Raw genomic sequence first — 23,006 nt, forward strand, 5'->3', positions numbered from 1 at the left:
CTATGTCCTGAATGGTATTGCCTAGGTTTTCTTCTAGGGTTTTTATGGTTTTAGGTCTAACGTTTAAGTCTTTAATCCATCTTGAATTAATTTTTGTATAAGGTGTAAGGAAGGGATCCAGTTTCAGCTTTCTACATATGGCTAGCCAGTTTTCCCAGCACCATTTATTAAATAGGGAATCCTTTCCCCATTGCTTGTTTTTCTCAGATTTGTCAAAGCTCAGATAGTTGTAGATAAGTGGCATTATTTCTGAGGGCTCTGTTCTGTTCCATTGATCTATATCTCTGTTTTGGTACCAGTACCATGCTGTTTTAGTTACTGTAACCTTGTAGTATAGTTTGAAGTCAGGTAGCGTGATGCCTCCAGCTTTGTTCTTTCGGCTTAGGATTGACTTGGCGATGTGGGCTCTTTTTTGGTTCCATATGAACTTTAAAGTAGTTTTTTCCAATTCTGTGAAGAAAGTCAGTGGTAGCTTGATGGGGATGGCATTGAATCTATAAATTACCTTGGTCAGTATGGCCATTTTCACGATATTGATTCTTCCTACCCATGAGCATGGAATGTTCTTCCATTTGTTTGTATTCTCTTTTATTTCATTGAGCAGTGGTTTGTAGTTCTCCTTGAAGAGGTCCTTCACATCCCTTGTAAGTTGGATTCCTAAGTATTTTATTCTCTTTGAAGCAGTTGTGAATGGGCGTTCACTCATGATTTGGCTCTCTGTTTGTCTGTTATTGGTGTATAAGAATGCTTGTGATTTTTGTACATTGATTTTGTATCCTGAGACTTTCCTGAAGTTGCTTATCAGCTTAAGGAGATTTTGGGCTGAGACAATGGGGTTTTCTAGATATACAATCATGTCGTCTGCAAACAGGGACAATTTGACTTCCTCTTTTCCTAATTGAATACCCTTTATTTCCTTCTCCTGCCTAATTGCCCTGGCCAGAACTTCCAACACTATGTTGAATAGGAGTGGTGAGAGAGGGCATCCCTGTCTTGTGCCAGTTTTCAAAGGGAATGCTTCCAGTTTTTGCCCATTCAGTATGATATTGGCTGTGGGTTTGTCATAGATAGCTCTTATTATTTTGAGATACGTCCCATCAATACCTAATTTATTGAGAGTTTTTAGCATGAAGGGTTGTTGAATTTTGTCAAAGGCCTTTTCTGCATCTATTGAGATAATCATGTGGTTTTTGTCTTTGGTTCTGTTTATATGCTGGATTACATTTATTGGTTTGTGTATATTGAACCAGCCTTGCATCCCAGGGATGAAGCCCACTTGATCATGGTGGATAAGCTTTTTGATGTGCTGCTGGATTCGGTTTGCCAGTATTTTATTGAGGATTTTTGCATCAATGTTCATCAAGGATATTGGTCTAAAATTCTCTTTTTTGGTTTTGTCTCTGCCCGGCTTTGGTATCAGGATGATGCTGGCCTCATAAAATGAGTTAGGGAGGATTCCCTCTTTTTCTATTGATTGGAATAGTTTCAGAAGGAATGGTACCAGTTCCTCCTTGTACCTCTGGTAGAATTCGGCTGTGAATCCATCTGGTCCTGGACTCTTTTTGGTTGGTAAGCTATTGATTATTGCCACAATTTCAGATCCTGTTATTGGTCTATTCAGAGATTCAACTTCTTCCTGGTTAGTCTTGGGAGAGTGTATGTGTCGAGGAATTTATCCATTTCTTCTAGATTTTCTAGTTTATTTGCGTAGAGGTGTTTGTAGTATCCTCTGATGGTAGTTTGTATTTCTGTGGGATCGGTGGTGATATCCCATTTATCATCTTTTATTGCGTCTATTTGATTCTTTTCTCTTTTTTTCTTTATTAGTCTTGCTAGCGGTCTATCAATTTTGTTGATCCTTTCAAAAAACCAGCTCCTGGATTCATTAATTTTTTGAAGGGTTTTTTTTGTCTCTATTTCCTTCAGTTCTGCTCTGATTTTAGTTATTTCTTGCCTTCTGCTAGCTTTTGAATGTGTTTGCTCTTGCTTCTCTAGTTCTTTTAATTGTGATGTTAGGGTGTCAATTTTGGATCTTTCCTGCTTTCTCTTGTGGGCATTTAGTGCTATAAATTTCCCTCTACACACTGCTTTGAATGTGTCCCAGAGATTCTGGTATGTTGTGCTTTTGTTCTCGTTGGTTTCAAAGAACATCTTGATTTCTGCCTTCATTTCATTATGTACCCAGTAGTCATTCAGGAGCAGGTTGTTCAGTTTCCATTTAGTTGAGCGGTTTTGAGTGAGTTTCTTAATCTTGAGTTCTAGTTTGATTGCACTGTGGTCTGAGAGACAGTTTGTTATAATTTCTGTTCTTTTACATTTGCTGAGGAGAGCTTTACTTCCAAGTATGTGGTCAATTTTGGAATAGGTGTGGTGTGGTGCTGAAAAAAATGTATATTCTGTTGATTTGGGGTGGAGAGTTCTGTAGATGTCTATTAGGTCCGCTTGGTGCAGAGCTGAGTTCAATTCCTGGGTATCCTTGTTAACTTTCTGTCTCGTTGATCTGTCTAATGTTGACAGTGGGGTGTTAAAGTCTCTCCCATTATTATTGTGTGGGAGTCTAAGTCTCTTTCTAGGTCTCTAAGGACTTGCTTTATGCATCTGGGTGCTCCTGTATTGGGTGCATATATATTTAGGATAGTTAGCTCTTCTTGTTGAATTGATCCCTTTACCATTATGTAATGGCCTTCTTTGTCTCTTTTGATCTTCGTTGGTTTAAAGTCTGTTTTATCAGAGACTAGGATTGCAACCCCTGCCTTTTTTTGTTTTCCATTTGCTTGGTAGATCTTCCTCCATCCTTTTATTTTGAGCCTATGTGTGTCTCTGCACGTGAGATGGGTTTCCTGAATACAGCACACTGATGGGTCTTGACTCTATCCAATTTGCCAGTCTGTGTCTTTTAATTGGAGCATTTAGCCTATTTACATTTAAGGTTAATATTGTTATGTGTGAATTTGATCCTGTCATTATGATGATAGCTGGTTATTTTGCTTGTTAGTTGATGCAGTTTCTTCCTAGTCTCGATGGTCTTTACATTTTGGCATGATTTTGCAGCGGCTGGTACTGGTTGTTCCTTTCCACGTTTAGTGCTTCCTTCAGGAGCTCTTTTAGGGCAGGCCTGGTGGTGACAAAAATCTCTCAGCATTTGCTTGTCTGTAAAGTATTGTATTTCTCCTTCACTTATGAAGCTTAGTTTGGCTGGATATGAAATTCTGGGTTGAAAATTCTTTTCTTTAAGAATGTTGAATATTGGCCCCCACTGTCTTCTGGCTTGTAGAGTTTCTGGCGAGAGATCCGCTGTTAGTCTGATGGGCTTCCCTTTGTGGGTAACCCGACCTTTCTCTCTGGCTGCCCTTAACATTTTTTCCTTCATTTCAACTTCGGTGAATCTGACAATTATGTGTCTTGGAGTTGCTCTTCTCGAGGAGTATCTTTGTGGCATTCTCTGTATTTCCTGAATCTGAATGTTGGCCTGCCTTGCTAGATTGGGGAAGTTCTCCTGGATAATATCCTGCAGAGTGTTTTCCAACTTGGTTCCATTCTCCCTGTCACTTTCAGGTACACCAATCAGACGTAGATTTGGTCTTTTCAAATAGTCCCATATTTCTTGGAGGCTTTGTTCGTTTCTTTTTATTCTTTTTTCTCTAAACTTCCCTTCTTGCTTCATTTCATTCATTTGATCTTCCATCATTGATACCCTTTCTTCCAGTTGATCGCATCGGCTCCTGAGGCTTCTGCATTCTTCATGTAGTTCTCGAGCCTTGGCTTTCAGCTCCATCAGCTCCTTTAAGCACTTCTCTGTGTTGGTTATTCTAGTTATACATTCATCTAAATTTTTTTCAAAGTTTTCAACTTCTTTGCCTTTGGTTTGAATTTCTTCCTGTAGCTCAGAGTAGTTTGATCATCTGAAGCCTTCTTCTCTCAACTCGTCAAAGTCATTCTCCGTCCAGCTTTGTTCTGTTGCTGGTGAGGAACTGTGTTCCTTTGGAGGAGGAGAGGTGCTCTGCTTTTTAGAGTTTCCAGTTTTTCTGCTCTGTTTTTTCCCCATCTTTGTGGTTTTATCTACTTTTGGTCTTTGATGATGGTGATGTACAGATGGGTTTTTGGTGTGGATGTCCTTTCTGTTTGTTAGTTTTCCTTCTAACAGACAGGACCCTCAGCTGCAGGTCTGTTGGAGTTTGCTAGAGGTCCACTCCAGACCTTGTTTGCCTGGGTATCAGCAGCAGTGTCTGCAGAACTGCGGATTTTCGTGATCCGCAAATGCTGCTGTCTGATCGGTCCTCTGGAAGTTTTGTCTCAGAGGAGTACCCGGCCGTGTGAGGTGTCAGTCTGCCCCTACTGGGGGGGGTGCCTCCCAGTTAGGCTGCTCGGGGGTCAGGGGTCAGGGACCCACTTGAGGAGGCAGTCTGCCCGTTCTCAGATCTCCAGCTGCATGCTGGGAGAACCACTGCTCTCTTCAAAGCTGTCAGACAGGGACATTTAAGTCTGCAGAGGTTACTGCTGTCTTTTTGTTTGTCTGTGCCCTGCCCCCAGAGGTGGAGCCTACAGAGGCAGGCAGGTCTCCTTGAGCTGTGGTGGGCTCCACCCAGTTCGAGCTTCCCGGCTGCTTTGTTTACCTAAGTGAGCCTGGACAATGGAGGGCACGTCTACCCCAGCCTCACTGCCGCCTTGCAGTTTGATCTCAGACTGCTGTGCTAGCAATCAGCGAGACTCCGTGGGCATAGGACCCTCCGAGCCAGGTGCGGAATATAATCTCCTGGTGCCCCGTTTCCTAAGCCCGTCAGAAAAGCGCAGTATTTGGGTAGGAGTGACCCGATTTTCCAGGTGCCATCTGTCACCCCTTTCCTTGACCAGGAAAGGGAACATCGTGACCCCTTGCGCTTCCCGAGTGAGGCAATGCCTCGCCCTGCTTCGTCTCGCGCATGGTGCGCTGCACCCACTGTCCTGCGCCCACTGTCTGGCACTCCCTAGTGAGATGAACCCGGTACCTCAGATGGAAATGCAGAAATCACCTGTCTTCTGCATCGCTCACGCTGGGAGCTGTAGACCAGAGCTGTTCCTATTTGGCCTGGAATTTCTTTTTTAAATGATTGAAGACATTCCAGTTTGCTGATAGTTTTTATCATGAATGAGTGTTAAATTTTCTCAAAAGTTTTTCTGGGCCAGGTGTGGTGGCTCATGCCTGTAATCTCAGCACTTTGGGAGGCCAGGGCAGGCGAATCACTTGAGCCAGGAGTTCAAGACTGGCCTGGGCAACATACAAAAATACAAAAAAAATTATCTGGATGTGGTGGGCGCCTGTAATCCTAGTTGCTCAGGAGGCTGAGACAGGAGAATCGCTTGAACCCAGGAGGTGGAGGTTGCAGTGAGCCAAGGTGGTGCCACTGCACTCCAGCCTGGGCAACAAAGAGTAAAACTCCATCTCAAAACAAAACAAAAAACAAAAAAAGTGTTTCTTCATCTATTGGTTTTTCACATTATATGGCTTTTTTCTTTTTTTAATATTACTATAATGAATTATGTTGATTGATTTTTGAAAAATTTAGTTGTCCTGGGATAAACTCCACTTGGTCATGATATAATACTTTTGTATATATTGTTTTATATATTAAATATGATGAATTTGCTAATATGTTGTTACTGATTTTTCTTGTCTGTGGTTCATAATGGATCTAATGTATAGTTTTTCTGTTTGATGTCAGGGTAATGCTATCTCATAAATGAATTGGGTTGTATTCTCTCCTCTTATTATTTTCTGAAAGAATTTATATAGAATTGGTATTATTTCTTAAACGTTTGTTAGAATTCACTGTGAAGCCATCTATCTGACTTGGAGATTTCTTTGTGGAAAGTTGTTTAACCAGTAGTTCAATTTTGGTAATAGAATGAAGACTGTTCAGGTTATCAGTTTTTCTTTTAATTCAATGAGCTTTTGTAGTTTGTGACTGTCTAGGAATTTGTTCAGTTCATCTAAGTTGTAAAATGTATTGGCATAAAGTTGTTGCCCTTTTTATCCTTTTGATGTTTGTATAATCTGTAACAATACCCCTTTTTTATTCTTGTTATTGATGATTTGTATGTCTCACTTTTTCCCCTGGTTCTTTGGCTACAGGTATATCAATGTAGTTGATCTTTTCAAAGTACCACAGCAGCTTTTAGTTTCATGGATTTCTTCTAGTATTTTTGTTACCTCATTTCTCCTCTTTTATTTTGTATTTCCTTTCCCTCTCATGACTTTGGGTATAATTAGCTCTTCTTTTCCAATTCTTACATAGATGGAAGTGTACATTGAGTTAAGACATTTCTTTTTTTCTAATAGAAGCTTTAAATGCTATAAATTTCTCTGTAAGCACTATTTAAAGGGCTCCCAAGTTTTGACATGTTGCATTTTCTTATTCAGTTGAAAATATTTTCTAATTTTCTCATGTTTGTTTTTTGCTCATTGGTTATTTAGAAATGTGTTTAATTTCCAAATATTTGGGGATTTTCCAAATAGCTTCCTGTAACTGGTTCTAGTTTAATTCTGTTTCAGTCAGAGCAGAGTCTATATGATGTCTTCCTAAATTTATGGAGACTTCTTTTATAGCACAGAGTACAGTTTAATTTGGTCAGTGTTCTCTGTGCCCTTGTAAAGAATGCATATTCTGATGTTATTGGGTGTACCCTGTAAATATCAGTGAGATTAAATTGGTTGATTGTGTTGAAAGTTTTCTGTATTCTTATTGTTCTTCAGTCTGTTAAAGCAATGACTGAAGGAAGAAAGTTGAAATCTTCTATTATAACTAAGCTTTGTTTTTAGATGCATTTATATTTAGGATTGTTGTATCCTCTCATGAATTCACCCTGTCCTATTATTATGAAATGCTTCAATTAATCCTTGATAATATTCTAAATAATATTGTCCTGAAATCTATTTTGGTTAATATTTTTATAGCCATTCTAACTTTCTTATGATTGTATGGTATCTTTGTTCTTTGTGCTGCTATAACAGAATGCCTGAAACTGGATAATTTATGAAGAACAAAAATAAATTTTCTCACAATTCTGGAGGCTGGGAGGTCCAAGATAAAGATTCAGGCAGGTTTGGGTTTCTGGTGGGGTCTGTTCTCTGCTTCCAAGATGGCACCTTGAGGCTCTGTCCTCACATGGCAAAAGTACAAGCCAGCCACATGCTACGTGAAGCCCCTTTTACAAGGGCCTTAATCCCATTCACAAAGGGAGAAATCTTAATGACTGGCCTAATCACGTATTAAAGGCCCTACTTCGTAATACTATCACATTGGCAACACCTGAACGTTGTTTGGTTTTTGTTTCGAGATAGGGCCTCGCTTTGTAGCCCAGGCTGGATTTCAGTGGCACAATCATGGCTCACTTCAGCCTCAACATCCTGGGCTCATGGGATCCTCTCACGTCAGCCTCCTGAGTAGCTGATACTACAGGCATGTGACACCATGCCCAGCTAATTTTTCTGTTTTTTATAGAGACACAATTTCACCATGTTGCCTAGGCTGGTCTTGAGCTTTTGGGTTCAACCAATCTGCCTGCCTTGGCCTCCCAAAGTGCTAGGATTACAGGTGTGAGCCACTGTGCCTGGCCTACACCTGAATTTTAGAGGGGACACATTCAAACTATAGTATATGATATACCTGATTTCCATCCTTTTTACTGTTGGTTTTTTTTTTTGTTTTTTTTTTGAGACAGGATCTTGTTCTGTCACCCAGACTGGAGGGCAGTGGTGCAATCAACCTCCCAGGATCCAGCAATCCTCCCACCGTAGCCACCTGAGTAGCTAGGACTGCAGGCATGTGCCACCTCATCTGGCTAATTTTTAAATTTTTTATAGAGGTGGGGTCTCACTATGTTGCCTAGGCTGGTCTTGAACTCCTGGGTCCAAGTGATCTTCCTGCCTGGCCTCCCAAAGTGCTGGGATTATAGGTGTGAGCCACTGCACCTTGCCCATCCTTTATACTTTTATTTACCTATGTTTTAACGTTTATAGTTAATCTGGTACAGCTAGTAGATGGTTTGGTTTTTCTTTTTTCCTCCAATCTGATACTCTTATCTTTTAATTGGAGTTTTTAGTCCATTCAATGTAATTATCAATATAGTTGAATTTAAATATGCCATCTTCCTATTTTTTCCAATTATGTTTTCTTTTTTTTTAGATTGAGAAATTTTTTATGATTTCATTTGTTTCTGTATTATTTATTCACTTATTAGAAGTACTTCTTTATTTTCTTGTTTGTTTTGTTTTTTAGTGGTTGCTCTAGGCCAGAGGTTGGCAAACCATTGCATTTGAGCTAAGTCAGGCATGATGCCTGGTTTTGTAGAGTTTTATTGGAACTCAGCCAACGGTGAAAGCATTTTGCTTAGTTTATATTGCTTTCTTTCTCTTCAAGTTCACTGATCTTTTCTTTCTTCAATGTGTAATCTGTTGTTACTACCACCCGTTGTATTTTTCATATCATGTATTTTTCTTCTCTAGAACTTTTCTTTGATCCTTTTTATATCTTCCATTTCTCTCATGTTTATCTTTTTTTCTACATTCTTGAGCTTATGGAGTATGTTTATAATCCTGTTTTGTTGTTGTTGTTGTTGAAACGGAGTTTTACTCTTGTCGCTCAGGCTAGAGTGCAATGGTGTGATCTCAGCTCACTGCAACCTCTGCCTTCCGGGTTTAAGTGATTCTCCTGCCTCAGCCTCCTGAGTAGCTGGGATTACAGGCACCTGCCACCATGCCCGGCTAATTTTTGTATGTTTAGTGGAGATTGGGGTTTCACCATTTTGTCCAGGCTGGTTTCGAACTCCTGACCTCAGGTGATCTGCCTGCCTAGACCTCCCAAAGTGCTGGGATTACAGGCGTGAGCCACTGCGCCCGGCCTATAATAATCCTGTTTTAACATCCTTGTTTTTCGTTTGTTTGTTTGAGACTCTGTTGCCCAGGCTGGAGTGCAGTGGTACAATCAGAGCTCACTGCAGCCTCTAACTCCTGGGCTCAAGCGATCCCCCCACCTCAGTCTCCAGTGTAGCTGGGACCACAGGTGTGTGCCACCACACCTAGCTAATTTTTAAATTTTTTGTAGAGACAGGGTTTTGCTATGTTGCCCAGGCTGGTCTCCTGGGCTCAAGTGATCTTCCTGTCTCAGCTTCCCAGAGTTCTGGAATTACTGGCATGAGCCACTGTGCCCAGCCCATCTTGTTTGTTAAATCCATCACCTCTGTCATTTCTGGGTCTGTTTCTTTTGATCATTTTTTTTCCCTCATGAATATTAGTCCTATTTTGCATGCTTGGAAATTTTTTACTTGAATTTTAAATTGCTGAATGCTGGATTTTGTTATGTTACGTTAAAGAATTAAGTTACTTCAGTCCATTTTGATCCTTTTGAGGCTTGCTTTTAAGTTTTTGTTAGTGTAGGTCAAGAGCAGCATTTTGGTCTACGGCTAATTTAGTCCGATTCCTGGAGCTACATTAACACATTATTTTCACCCAAAATTCATAGTTTACATTAGGGTTCACTATTGATATTGATAATGTGGGTTTTGACAAATATATAATGGCACATATTCACCATTATATTATCTTACAAAATGGTTTCACTGCCCTAAAAATCCTCTTTGCTCTGCCTATTTATCCCTCCCTCCCTGCTACCCCCTGGAAACCACTGATCTTTTTACTCTCTCCAAAATGTTGCCTTTTGCAGAATGCCATTTGGTTAGAATCTGGAAGACTATATACCATGTAGCCTTTTCAGAGTGGCTTCATTCACTTCGTAATATGCATTTGAATTCCTCCTAACCCGTTCTTGCTTATCTGTTCCTACATTCTGTTGTATTTTGTGTCAGTCACATACGTTTTAATGATTCATTTCATTCCTCTGTTAGCTTTTTAGTTATGCGTTTGCATTTTTTGTGTGATTGCCCTAGGATTACAGTATGGATCTTCAACTTACCAGGATTTTCTTAAGGTTAATATTAAATTAGTTATGGTAAAAATATATCAATCTTGCCACATTATAGTTTCATTTATTAATACCTGTCTTTTACTTTTTTGTTTGCCATGTATATGATATTTATGTTTGCAATAAGTGGTATTAGAAGGGTCTGTAGTCCACAGGCCAAAATCCAGCCTGTTTCCTATTTTGTACAGATTGTGAGCTAAGAATTGTCTTTGCATTTGAAACGTTTGAAAACATTTACAAGAAAAAATATTCCTGACACACTAAAACTTCATGAAATTTAAATGTTAGTGTCCATAACTAAGTTTTATTGAAACACATCTTTGCTCATTTATTTACATATTATCTATGGTTGCTTTCATGCTAAAATAGCAGAAGACATTCCCTGACTGCTGCTTGAAACAGTCATATCTCATAAAGAAGAAAGGAAATGAATATTTATACTCTTACAATTTTTCTTATTTTCTTCATACCTTCCTAAAGACCTTAGTGTTATTTTTACCTTAAGCCTGAAGAATTTCCTTTAGGCCCCACCACCCCTTCCCCTTCCCCCACTCCAGAGATAGAGATCTCACTTTGTTGCCCAGGCTGATCTCAAACTCCTGGCTTCAAGCAGTCTTCCTGCCTCAGCCCCACAAAGTGCCCGGATTACAGAAGTAAGCCACCACGCCCAGCCTATTAGCATTTTTGATGGTGCAGTCCTGCTGGTGATGTTGCCCAGGCTGATCTCAAACTCCTAGCTTCAAGCAGTCTTCCTGCCTCAGCCCTCCAAAGTGCCCAGATTACAAAAGTAAGCCACCACACCCAGCCTATTAGTATTTTTGATGGTGCATTCCTGCTGGTGATGAATTCTCTAGGTTTTATCTGAAAATATCTTTATGTTGCCTTCATTTTGAATATATAGTTTTGCTGCGTGTAGAATTCTTGGCTGTGTAGCAGTTTAATTAGGATTTGGCTAAGTGTGGTTTTCTTTGGTGTTTATCCTTTTAGGGTTAATTAAACTCCTTGAATATGTAAATTAAAAGTTCTTGCCAAGTTTGGAGTTAGGCCATTATTTCCATAAAATTTATTTATGCCCTTTCTTTTTCTCTCCCCATTCTGGGACTCTAATTATATCCATGTTGGATTTTTGAATATGACCTATGGATCTTTGTGAGTCTGTTCATTTTTCATGATTCTTTTTTCTTTCTGTTCAGATTACTTACTTTCTCTTGATTGATTTACACAGATACTGATTCTCTATTTCTGTGCTCCTATCGAGCTTCTCTAGTTAATTTTTTATTTCAGTTATTTCTTTGAATACATTTAGAACAGCTACTTTGAAGCCTTTTTTTTTTTTTTTTTTTTTTGGCAAAATCTGACATCAGGGCCCACTAGGAGTTAGTTTCTGTGATTGTCTTTTTGTGACTACAGGTTTTATTCCCCCCACTCCTTTTTGTTTTGTTTTGTTTGCATGTTTAGTAATTTTTGCTAGAAAACTGGACATCATAAATAGTATTGTAATCTGAATTCTGTTATATCTGTTATGTTCTTCTGAGAATTATTATTATTTTTAGTAGGCAATTAGCTTGCTTGTAATCAAACATCAAACTTTGTCTTCCTGCTCAGTGTAAAGCAGCTGATATATCCTCTTAGTTCTTCAAGCTTCTAGCTGCTGCCTTTTACCCTAACCTCCTGAAAGCAGATAGGTTCTCTCTTGTGTTCATCTGCTTTTCTCTCAATCAAGGAATTGGTGAGTGTTTAGATTTGGGGGCTCACGTCCTGCATTTCTCTTTTTCAAGTTTTACCCTCTACACTTCCTGCTGCTTTGTCAGTTCAAGCTCTGACACCTTAATCCCGTAAGCCTTAAATTTTATTCTTCTTGGGCTATGAGCAGGTTGTGGAATACCATCAGTCAAGAAGCAGAAGCCTTAGAATCTTATTAGGTGCACTTTTATTTTTCAAGATTCTTTTCTGTTGTATTTCTGCCTGCTTTTTGCTAAGCCCTCGGTGATCTCTCCAACACATGCATATTTTATCAACCAGGAGTTTGGCAGAGTTTATGCTCAGATTTTCATTTTCATCCGTTCTGTAGTTCCCTCACTTCCAGAATTAACCTAAATTTCCAGCTCTCACTTTTTGTGTGTGTGTGTGTGTGTGACACAGTCTCTCTCTGTCACCCAGACTGGAGTGCAGTGGCACAATCTCGGCTCACTACAACCTCCATCTCCCGGGTTCAAGCGATTGTACTGCCTCAGCCTCCCAAGTAGCAGGATTACAGGCACCCACCACCACACCCAGCTAATTTTTGTATTTTTAGTAGAGACAGGGTCTTGCCATGTTAGCTGGGCTGGTTTTGAACTCCTGACCTCAGATGAGCCACCACGCCCAGCCTCAAGCTCTCGTTTCTGTCCTCCCGTCACCTTTGAGGAAGTAAGTGGTGGTTTTATGCCATGAGAGCTGTGGGGTTTCAGGTACCATGATGCAAAAACAGCCACAAAATTAGCAGTTCTTGTACATTGCAGTTGCTATCCTTCAAGGATAAGCTCTTTTCCAGTTTCCGCCTGCTTTGGTTGCTTTCCAGTGCTATTAGTTGTTTATTGTATGGCATGTGCACATTTTATAATTATTATCTGAGGGAAAGTGTCCCTGACTGTTTTACTCTGTTAATGCTGCATGCTGAAAAATCTCACCATGCACATACAATATTCCTCCTTAGTGAAGCCTGAGAAATTGTTCTACCTTTGTGATACATGCTGTATCTTGTACATACTTCTTTGTTGTACCTGTGACACCTTCTTGCAGGTTTGTGTTTACTTACATTTTCTTGCAAGTATGTGTTACATGCCTCTGGTAACTTCTGAGCAGAAACAGTGTTTGTCTTGGCACTTCCATAAATAAATACAGTTTTTGGCATTAAGTGGCTTCACAGTAAATATTCTTAGAATGTGTTATTTAAAAACTAACTGATGGATATTTTTACCTTGATTTTTGTTTTCCCTACAATATAAATCATAAAACAGGGAAAATTGTAGTCTTTCTATATTAGGATTCGTATGACTGCCACAAGGAAGCAGGGTCAAAAGTAGTTCCCAATATCCAGTCCACCTGTTCTTTTTCTTTTCCTTTTTTTTGACAGAGTCCTGCTCTGTCGCCCAGGCTGGAGTGCAGTGGCATGATCTGGGCTCACTGCATCCTCCGCCTCCTGGTTTCAAGCTATTCTCCTGCCTCAGCCTCCCATGTAACTGGGATTACAGGCGCACACCACTATGCCCAGCTAATTTTTTGTATTTTTAGTAGACATGGGGTTTCACCATCTTGGCCAGGGTGGTTTTTAACTCATGACCTCAAGTGATCCACCTACCTCAGCCTCCCAAAGTGCTGGGATTACAGGCATGAACCACTGTACCTGGCTAAGTCCACCTGTTCTGATTACAGTTCCATCCATTCTAGGGATCAGTGTCTTTCAATGATGTGACTGTGGACTTCACTCAGGAGGAGTGGCAGCACCTGGATCATGCTCAGAAGACTCTATATATGGATGTGATGTTGGAAAACTATTGCCACCTCATCTCTGTGGGTAAGAAAAATCCTCTTTGAAACTTTAGTAGCATGCACTTCCTCTCAAAGTGCCTAATTGTGTATAATCTTGAATTTCAGGAATAAGAGGTGATGAATTCCTTTTCGTTAGCAGAATGAATGATTGTGTCTTCACTTACCCAGTGCAAGGTGCTACCTATATTGTTACACAAATGGGTGTCTTAATTTGCAGTACTGAACATGCCCCTTTCCTCATTTTTCAGTGGTATTATAGCCCAATCAACTTAAGTCTTTTTTTCACTTTTCAGGGTGTCACATGACCAAACCTGATGTGATCCTCAAGTTGGAACGAGGAGAAGAGCCATGGACATCATTTGCAGGTCATACCTGCTTGGGTGAGTTTCTGGCTCTTAGGCAGACACAGTCTAGCAGAATGTAAATTTAAAAGGGTCAAGTGGGGGTGATACCTTTGAAATGTTTCAGGAGTATCTTTTTTTAAAGGCTCTTGACCTCTGAAAACCTTCATGCCTATAAAACTCAAAACCAGACCTTTAGGCTAGGTATGGTGGCTCATGCCTATAATCTGACACTTTGGGAGGCCAAGGTGAGAGGATCACTTGAGGCCACGAGTTCAGAGCCAGCCTGGACAGCATAGCAAGACCCCATCACTACAAAAAGATAAAAATAAAAAATTAGCCAAGGTTGGGTGTGGTGGCTCACACCTTTCATCCCAGCACTTTGGGAGGCCAAGATGGGCAGATCCCTTGAGCCCAGGAGTTTGCAACCAGCCTGAGAATCATGGCAAAACCCCATCTTTACAAAAAAAATACAAAAGTTAGCTGGGCATGGTGGTGTGCACCTTTAGTCCCAGCTACTCAGGAAGCTAAGGTGGGAGGATCACTTGAGCCCAGGAAGTCAAGTCTGTGGTCAGCTGTGATTGCACCACTCCAACCTGGGAGACAGAGCAAGAGCCTGTCTCAAAAAAAAAAAAGCCAGGAATGATGGCATACACCTGTGGTTCCAGCTACTCAGAAGGTTGAGGTAGGAGAATCACTTGAGCCCAAGGATTCAAGGTTACAGTGAGCTAGGATTATACCACTACACACCAGCCTGGGCTACAGAGCCAAGACCCTGTCTCAAAAACAAAAACAGAACCAGACTTTTAAATATCACTCTCTCCGGCTGGGCACGGTGGCTCACACCTGTAATCCTAGCACTTCGGGAGGCTGAGGCGGGCAGATCACCTGAGGTCAGGAGTTTGAAACCAACCTGGCCAACATAATGAAACCCTGTCTCTACTAAAAATACAAAAATTAGCTGGGTGTGGTGGCACATGCCTGTAATCCCAGCGACTCAGGAGGCTGAGGCCGGAGAATCGCTTAAACCCGGTAGGCGGAGGTTCCGGTGAGCCAAGATCGTGCCATTGCACTCCAGCCTGGGCAACAGAGCAAGACTCCATTTCAAAAAAAATAATAATACACTATATATATCACTCTCCCCAAATACATTCTTTCCTAGTTTGCTTCATATTATCAAAAACAACTGCCACTCTGAATGTACCATAAGCCATCTTTCTTTTAGATCTTTTTTATTAGCTCGTGTATCTTTTTCCAGCCTTCTCAGTCCTTATCTTGCCATTGTGATAAGTTTTGTCAGGAAAGGTTTATTTATTTATTTACTTATTGGTTGTTTTTTGTTTTTGTTTTTGAGATGGAGTCTTACTCTGTAGCCCAGGCTGGAATGCAGTGACGTCATCTTGGCTCACTGCAACCTCCGCCTCCCAGGTTCAAATGATTCTCCTGCCTCAGCCTCCTAAGTAGCTGGGATTACAGGTGCGCATCAACAGGCCTGGCTAACTTTTTTGTATTTTTAGTAGAGATGGGGTTTCACCATGTTGGCCAGGCTGGTCTCAAACTCCTGACCTTGTGATCTGCCCACCTCGGCCTCACAAAGTGCTGGGATTACAGGCTTGAGCCACTGCACCTGGCACCATTGTAATAGATTTCTTTCAGGCTTTCTTCATCCTGTCTTTAAAAAGAGAAAATTATTGGTTAGTGGTCCTCTCCTTACTTACTTAACATTTCCTTTCCTTCATACCACCTCGGCTTTGTTTTCTGTGCTAAGCTCCCCTTCTCACTACAAATTTAGCTATTAATTTTAGAACTCACTTAACACAACCCAGGTTGATAAAGTCAAAGTTGCCATTTTCTTCCATAAAACCTTTGTGGTTCATTTTACATGGCTTTTCATCATTCCTGCAATCAATCCTTTGTTTAAGTGAAATAACACTAATTCTTATCCTAATTCCTTGAATGCTTATTTACAACTTGGCCTGTTTTCTTTACCACTGTGGCCATATCACCTGAAAAATGCTTGGCATATAATAGTCATAACAGATTTTATTTTTTTAAATAAATGTTTATTGTTTCACTTAACACTCGGTCTTATTTCTCTCATATGCCCTCACATGATCTACCTTTCAATTATAATGATTCCATGCATTCTCAGACTGATGCTGTTTATTTTATGTAGATGGCACTGACGTCAACATACAAAGCACATTTCTCCTACCTTCACTCCAGTTCATCAGGCGTACTACAGTCTATCATCTCACCTATTTTCTGACAATGTGTCAGAAATGAAAATCACTGACTTTCTCAGCTCTTAAATTTTTCCCCACTATTTATTTATTTATTTATTATTTTTGAGATGGAGTCCTGCTGTGCCACCCAGGCTGGAGTGCAGTGGTTCAGTCTCGGCTCACTGCAAACTCCACCTCCTGGGTTCAAGTGATTCTCCTGCCTCAGCCTCTGGGGTAGCTGGGATTACAGGTGCCCACCACCATGCCCGGCTAATTTTTGTATTTTTAGTAGAGATGGGGTTTCACCATGTTGGCCAGGCTGGTCTCGAACTCCTGACCTCAGGTGATCCACCTGCCTCAGCCTCCCAAAGTGCTCAGATTACAGGCATGAGCCACCGTGCCTGGCCTCCCATTATTTAACTCAAAATAATAATAATAATAATAATAATAATAATAATTATTATTATTATTATTATTATTATTATTATTATTTGAGATGGAGTTTCGTTCTTGTTGCCCAGGCTGGAGTGCAATGGCTCGATCTCGACTCACCGCAACCTCCGGCTCCCAGGTTCAAGCAATTCTTCTGCCTCAGCCTCCTGGTTAGCTGGGATTACAGGCATGAGCCACCACACCCGGCTAATTTTGTATTTTTAGTAGAGATGGGGCTTCTCCATGTTGGTCAGGCTGGTCTTGAACTCCTGACCTCAGGCAATCTGCCCGTGTCAGCCTCCCAAAGTGCTGGGATTACAGGCCTGAGCCACCGTGCCCAATCCCTTCAAATTTATTTTGTTTCTACTACAAAGTCAACTTGATTTTTCTGTCTCTCTTATCATTTCTTATGGATCTCTTCACAATTTGTAATATGTTTATCAGCTTGTGAAATATATTGACATCCTCCCATATTCTGATTTCTCACTGATGTCATACAAAATGACAACTATCTTATTTCATGTATTTATTACTGGAATTACCATTTGTCTTTGTGGTAAATTTTGTCTGGATTCATTCAATGTATATTGTTACTTTCCTCACAAAATATACCATCAGTTTTTCCCTTTTTTTTTATCATTTATTCTATGAAATGGAAATTTCTCTTCTTTCAGGAACTGTCACAATAAGCCCTCATCTGGTCTTTTCAACTTTCTCTTGGAGAAAATTCTTGATAATTTCCACTTGATCTAGTCTCCTAATTGTTGTTCATGAATGTAGGGTTTGTCATCACATAGATACTTTTCATTGTGTTGTGTTCTCCCTTTATACTATATCTTTTAAGTCTCAAGATTTCTCTGTGAAATCTTCCTTGATTACTGCACATCATATCTACCTTCCTTTTTTTCTGAATTCCTGTCCTAACTACTGACTATAACACAAACATGCACAACTCTTGAATAGTCATATAATTTCATTCCTAATTGTTTTTGCTTAAGGATTTTTAAGGATGCTTAAGGATTCTTTCCCTCAAAAATAAGATCCCTTTTGAATCTTCATTTCTTTGAAGGAATCAAGCATTCTTAAGGATTCTTTTCCTCAAAGATAAGATCCCTTTTGAACCTTCATTACTGTGGTATTATTTAACATGTTAGGTATTCAGTAGTTACTGTGTTAATTGCTTATGGAGCTATGTAAGGGAGATATCTTTTCATCCATTCAGAAAGCATATACTAGCAAGTTCCTTTTAGATGTACCTACTCATGCTGTGTCCCTACAGATTGTGCTTGAAGTGGTTGCATTCTGCCAGACACCACCTAACTATGAGTATGCAGTGATCATGTAAAATTTTTTTTTTTAAGATGGAGTCTTGTTCTGTCGTCCAGGCTGGAGTGCAGTGGCACGATCTCAGCTCACTGTAAACTCTGCCTTCCGGGTTCAAGTAATGCTCCTGACTCAGCCTCTGGAGTAGCTGGGAGTACAGGTGCATGCCACCATGCCCGGCCAGCTTTTTTTGTATTTTTAGTAGGGACAGTTTCACCATGTTGGCCAGGCTGGTCTGGAACTCCTGACCTCAGGTGATCTGCCCGCTTCGGCTTGCCAAAGTGCTGGGATTACAGGCATGAGCAACCGTGCCCAGCCCAAAAGAGTTTAAAGATCACCAATAAAGTATTTATTTCTATGAAGAAGGATCACTATCGAGTCTGCATTTTTCATGAAATATTTATGTCAAAGTGTAAGGTTGTTAAAAGATTTGTTAACAGAGTTTTCCTAGGCAATAATTATATTGCAAATTTTAAAGAAGTAGAGCTTAAAATGGTAGGGGAAACATATGAAGGGTTTATGAGATCATGGAATGGTATGATTTCTTTGAAGATTCTCTAAAGATAAATAGAAATAAACCTGGAAGGCAAGCTAATTAATTAAAAGAATGTGTGCACAAGTGTGTTATTAGGAATAAGTAAGGTATATATAGGGCAGTAAGTATCAGGCCTGACTGAGGCAAAAACTACCTGTTATAAACAGGTGAGATCTGTCAGGTATGTGGACAACCCTGAAAACTTGTGAGAATATAAAAAATGAATCTAGACAATATAGTTTTGTTTACAGGAGAAATTCCTTGTATATGTTAGAATTGAAGTTCTTGGACTCAATGAAGAAATAGATTTTTGAGCATAGCTTTAACATTGCTTCATCAGATATAGATGATTGCAAGGTAAGTAAAGTTAGAAATAGCTATACTTTTATAAGAGAAATGAAGGTTAAAGTTACTCTGATTTAGGACCAGATTGTTCAATCTACCATTTGAAATTGGTATTCTGATCTACCATATGAAAAACTGGAATAAAGGAATGTTACTGCATTGGGGAAGGATGTAAGCCAGTCTTAAACCTGGAAAAGTGAGTCAGTAACTGAAAAGAGGACTAGGCATGAGAGCTTTGTTATTGAACAATTCTGAAAGAAGTGATTTAGCAGCAGTCTGAATATAGCAATTGAATATATTCTGATCTTTTTTAAAGTTGCTATCGGAAGTATTTTCCTAATTTTCCATTCATAAGAGAAAATAATACATAATTATGTAGAGGATTAGAGCATAGACTGTAGAAAATGAATTGATAATTTAAAAGCTAAATTAATCAATGTTGACTACATAGAAAGAGGAGGTGGGTTGAACAGCTGGAAGTGTTTTACCACAGTCATCTAGGGATGTGTGTATAAAAGTATTGGTGATCAGCCGGGCACAGTGGCTCATACCTGTAATCCCAGCATTTTGGGAGGCCAAGGTGGGCAGATCATGAGGTCAGGAGTTCGAGACCAACCTGGCCAGCATGGTGAAACCCCGTCTCTACTAAAAATACAAAAAATTAGCTAGGCGTGGTGGCACATGCCTGTAATCCCAGCTATTCAGGAGGCTGAGGCAGGAGAATCGCTTGAACCCAGGAGGCAGAGGTTGCAGTGAGCCGAGATCACGCCACTGCACTCCAGCCTGGGTGACAAAGCGAGACTTTGTCTCAAAAAAAAATAATAATAATTATTATAGGTGATCTGTGTCCTCCAGAAGTAATCTTTCCTCTAGTATTTTCGCTAAACAAAGATTTCTGCTAATTTTTCTTGTCCATCCTACTTACATTTTAATGCTTTTGATAGGTTCACTTCATTTTTTCTGAACACTTATCTAACCATCAACCCCCTTCTACCATTCTTTGACTTCTTGGTTGGTTTCACTTTCTCTAAGAAGTTTTAGTGCAAAATGCAAAAGGTATTAATGTTTATTGTTTACATCTTCATCCTTTTCCACTCTGAAGCAGTTTTTGTTTAGGTTCCCCTCCCCGCACCCCTGCCAGGCCAGTGGTCATTTGTTCTGAGTCTCTTTTTGCGCCATGTGCTAGACCCTAGTAAAATTTCTTTGCATAGGAAATGTGTGAAGATTCACAAATTGTTATCAATTATATTCTTTTCTAGAAGAAAACTGGAAAGCTGAAGACTTTTTAGTGAAATTCAAGGAACACCAAGAGAAGTATTCTAGATCAGTTGTAAGCATCAACCACAAAAAACTGGTGAAGGAGAAGAGTAAAATATATGAAAAGACATTTACTCTAGGCAAAAACCCTGTGAATTCAAAAAATCTACCTCCTGAATATGATACTCATGGAAGGATTTTGAAAAATGTTTCAGAATTAATCATCAGTAATCTAAATCCTGCAAGAAAGAGACTTAGTGAGTATAATGGATATGGGAAATCACTCCTGAGTACTAAACAAGAGACTACTCATCCTGAAGTCAAATCCCATAATCAAAGTGCCAGAGCTTTCAGTCATAATGAAGTTCTTATGCAGTATCAGAAAACGGAAACTCCAGCACAGTCATTTGGATATAATGACTGTGAGAAATCATTCCTTCAAAGGGGAGGCCTGATTACACATAGTAGACCTTACAAAGGAGAAAACCCATCTGTATATAATAAAAAAAGAAGAGCAACCAATATTGAAAAAAAACATACATGCAATGAATGTGGGAAATCTTTCTGCAGGAAATCAGTATTGATTCTGCATCAGGGAATTCACTCAGAAGAAAAACCCTATCAATGTCATCAATGTGGAAATGCATTTAGAAGGAAATCATATCTCATTGATCATCAGAGAACTCACACAGGAGAGAAACCCTTTGTTTGCAATGAATGTGGTAAGTCCTTCCGCCTCAAGACAGCCCTCACTGATCATCAGAGAACACACACAGGGGAGAAATCGTATGAATGTCTGCAATGTAGGAATGCCTTCAGATTGAAGTCACACCTCATTCGTCATCAGAGAACTCACACGGGAGAGAAACCATATGAGTGTAATGACTGTGGGAAGTCCTTCCGCCAGAAGACAACACTCTCTCTACATCAGAGAATCCATACAGGTGAGAAACCCTACATTTGTAAAGAATGTGGGAAGTCCTTTCACCAGAAGGCAAATCTTACTGTACATCAGAGAACTCATACAGGGGAAAAGCCCTATATTTGTAATGAATGTGGGAAATCCTTCTCCCAGAAGACAACCCTTGCTCTTCATGAGAAAACTCATAATGAGGAGAAACCCTATATTTGTAGTGAATGTGGAAAGTCCTTCCGCCAGAAGACAACCCTTGTAGCACATCAGAGAACACATACAGGGGAGAAATCTTATGAATGTCCTCACTGTGGGAAGGCCTTTAGAATGAAGTCATACCTCATTGATCATCACCGAACTCACACAGGAGAGAAACCATATGAATGTAATGAATGTGGTAAATCATTCAGTCAAAAGACAAATCTCAATCTACATCAGAGAATTCATACAGGGGAGAAACCCTATGTTTGTAATGAATGTGGGAAGTCCTTTCGCCAGAAAGCAACCCTCACTGTACATCAGAAAATACATACCGGCCAGAAATCCTATGAATGTCCTCAGTGTGGGAAAGCCTTTAGCAGGAAGTCATATCTCATTCATCATCAAAGAACTCATACGGGAGAGAAACCATATAAATGTAGTGAATGTGGAAAGTGCTTCCGCCAGAAGACAAATCTTATTGTACATCAGAGAACTCACACAGGTGAGAAACCCTATGTTTGTAATGAGTGTGGTAAGTCTTTCAGTTATAAGAGAAACCTCATTGTCCATCAAAGAACTCACAAGGGAGAAAACATTGAAATGCAATAAATGATGTGGTTTCTTATATGAATTCTTTACAAGCTGTTGTAAACATTTAGTTTTAAAAAGAAAAGCATGCTGAAACATGTTAATGTAATTTTAAATCACAAGTCTAATAATTATTAAAGTACCATACGGAATAACTGTCTACTGTTTACTAGCATATAAAATAAGTATGATCATTATTATTGAACTCTATCAGCTATGAAGCTAAATTTTAAAGTCAACTGCTCTTCCTACTGACTCAAATAGTTTATTTTTTAAAAATACTTATATAATACATGCAGAGACAAGATACACAATGATTATAAGTATTAATCTCCATAAGAGAAAATATTTATGAACTATATTTCTCATTGCACTCTGTAATAAAAAGCAGTTAGTTGTTACTTACCTAAGAGTTACCACTTCCGTAGCCTATAACATCAAAACGTAGTTTTTGCATGTTTTCAATTTTATAAATATATATTTTATCAGACATCATGAATTATTTTGTGTCTTGCTTATTTCACTCAATTTTTTAAGATCTGTACATTATTGCATGTGGCAGTAGTGTATTTTCATTTTGCATACTATTCCATTTTAAGAATATATTGCTGTTTATCCTATTGATGGATATTTGTATTTTTTATACTTTTGTGTAATAATAAAAATACTGCTGTAAATATTCTTGTTTATATCATGTGTGTGTTTGCGTGTATGTATTTCTGTTGAATTTATACCTGGGACTGGACTTATTCATTCCAAGAGTATATATGAGGTTTTTTTGGTCATTCAGACTGGAGAATTTCTACTAAAAAGAAACCTTGCGGCTTTATAATTGTGAGAAGGCTATTAATAAATCATGGACATGTGAATGCAGTATATGTAGAAGGCCTTTAGCTGTCTCTCAATGCTTAAATGCAAAACAAGCAAATTCGTATTGGAGGGAAATCTTGTAGTTGTCATGATTTTAGGGGTACTTTAGCCATAGCTTATTACACCTTATTTAATATCAAGGAATTAGAATTCATACAAGAGAAAGGGACATTGAGAAGGGAAATAGGTGAGGAAAATTTGAGAGTACCAGAGTCTTTTTTTTTTTCTTTTTTTTTTTTTTTTTTGAGACAGAGTCTCGCTCTGTTGCCCAGGCTGGAATGCAGTGGAGCGATCTCGGCTCACTGCAACCTCTGCCTCCTGGGTTCAAGTGCTTCTCCTGCCTCAGCCTTCTGAGTAGCTGGGATTACAGGCATGTGCCATCACGCCCAGCTAATTTTTGTATTTTTAGTAGAGACGGGGTTTCACCACGTTGGTCAGACTGGTCTCGAACTCCTGACTTCATGATCCGCCTGCCTCGGCCTCCCAAAG

The 23,006-nt window shown here is 39.5% G+C and overlaps 1 protein-coding gene across 45 annotated transcripts in view; it reads left to right on the top strand.

Moving 5' to 3' along the window:
• ZNF567 (zinc finger protein 567) overlaps positions 1 to 23,006 on the top strand; it is a 60,573-nt gene that overhangs the window by 32,067 nt on the left and 5,500 nt on the right. For 34 of the 45 annotated variants that reach the window (NM_001387762.1, NM_001387761.1, NM_001387760.1 and 31 more), the window contains 3 exons: positions 13,386 to 13,512; positions 13,781 to 13,867; positions 19,948 to 22,336. In NM_001387762.1, coding sequence (NP_001374691.1) covers positions 13,386 to 13,512; positions 13,781 to 13,867; positions 19,948 to 21,668 — 1,935 coding nt within the window. In that variant the 3' untranslated portion in view covers positions 21,669 to 22,336. The other 11 variants (XM_047438330.1, XM_047438329.1, XM_047438331.1 and 8 more) reach the window with 5 other exon arrangements.

The sequence above is a fragment of the Homo sapiens genome, chromosome 19, assembly GCF_000001405.40.
Source record: "Homo sapiens chromosome 19, GRCh38.p14 Primary Assembly".
In the NCBI taxonomy this organism is placed as follows: Eukaryota; Metazoa; Chordata; class Mammalia; order Primates; family Hominidae; genus Homo; species Homo sapiens.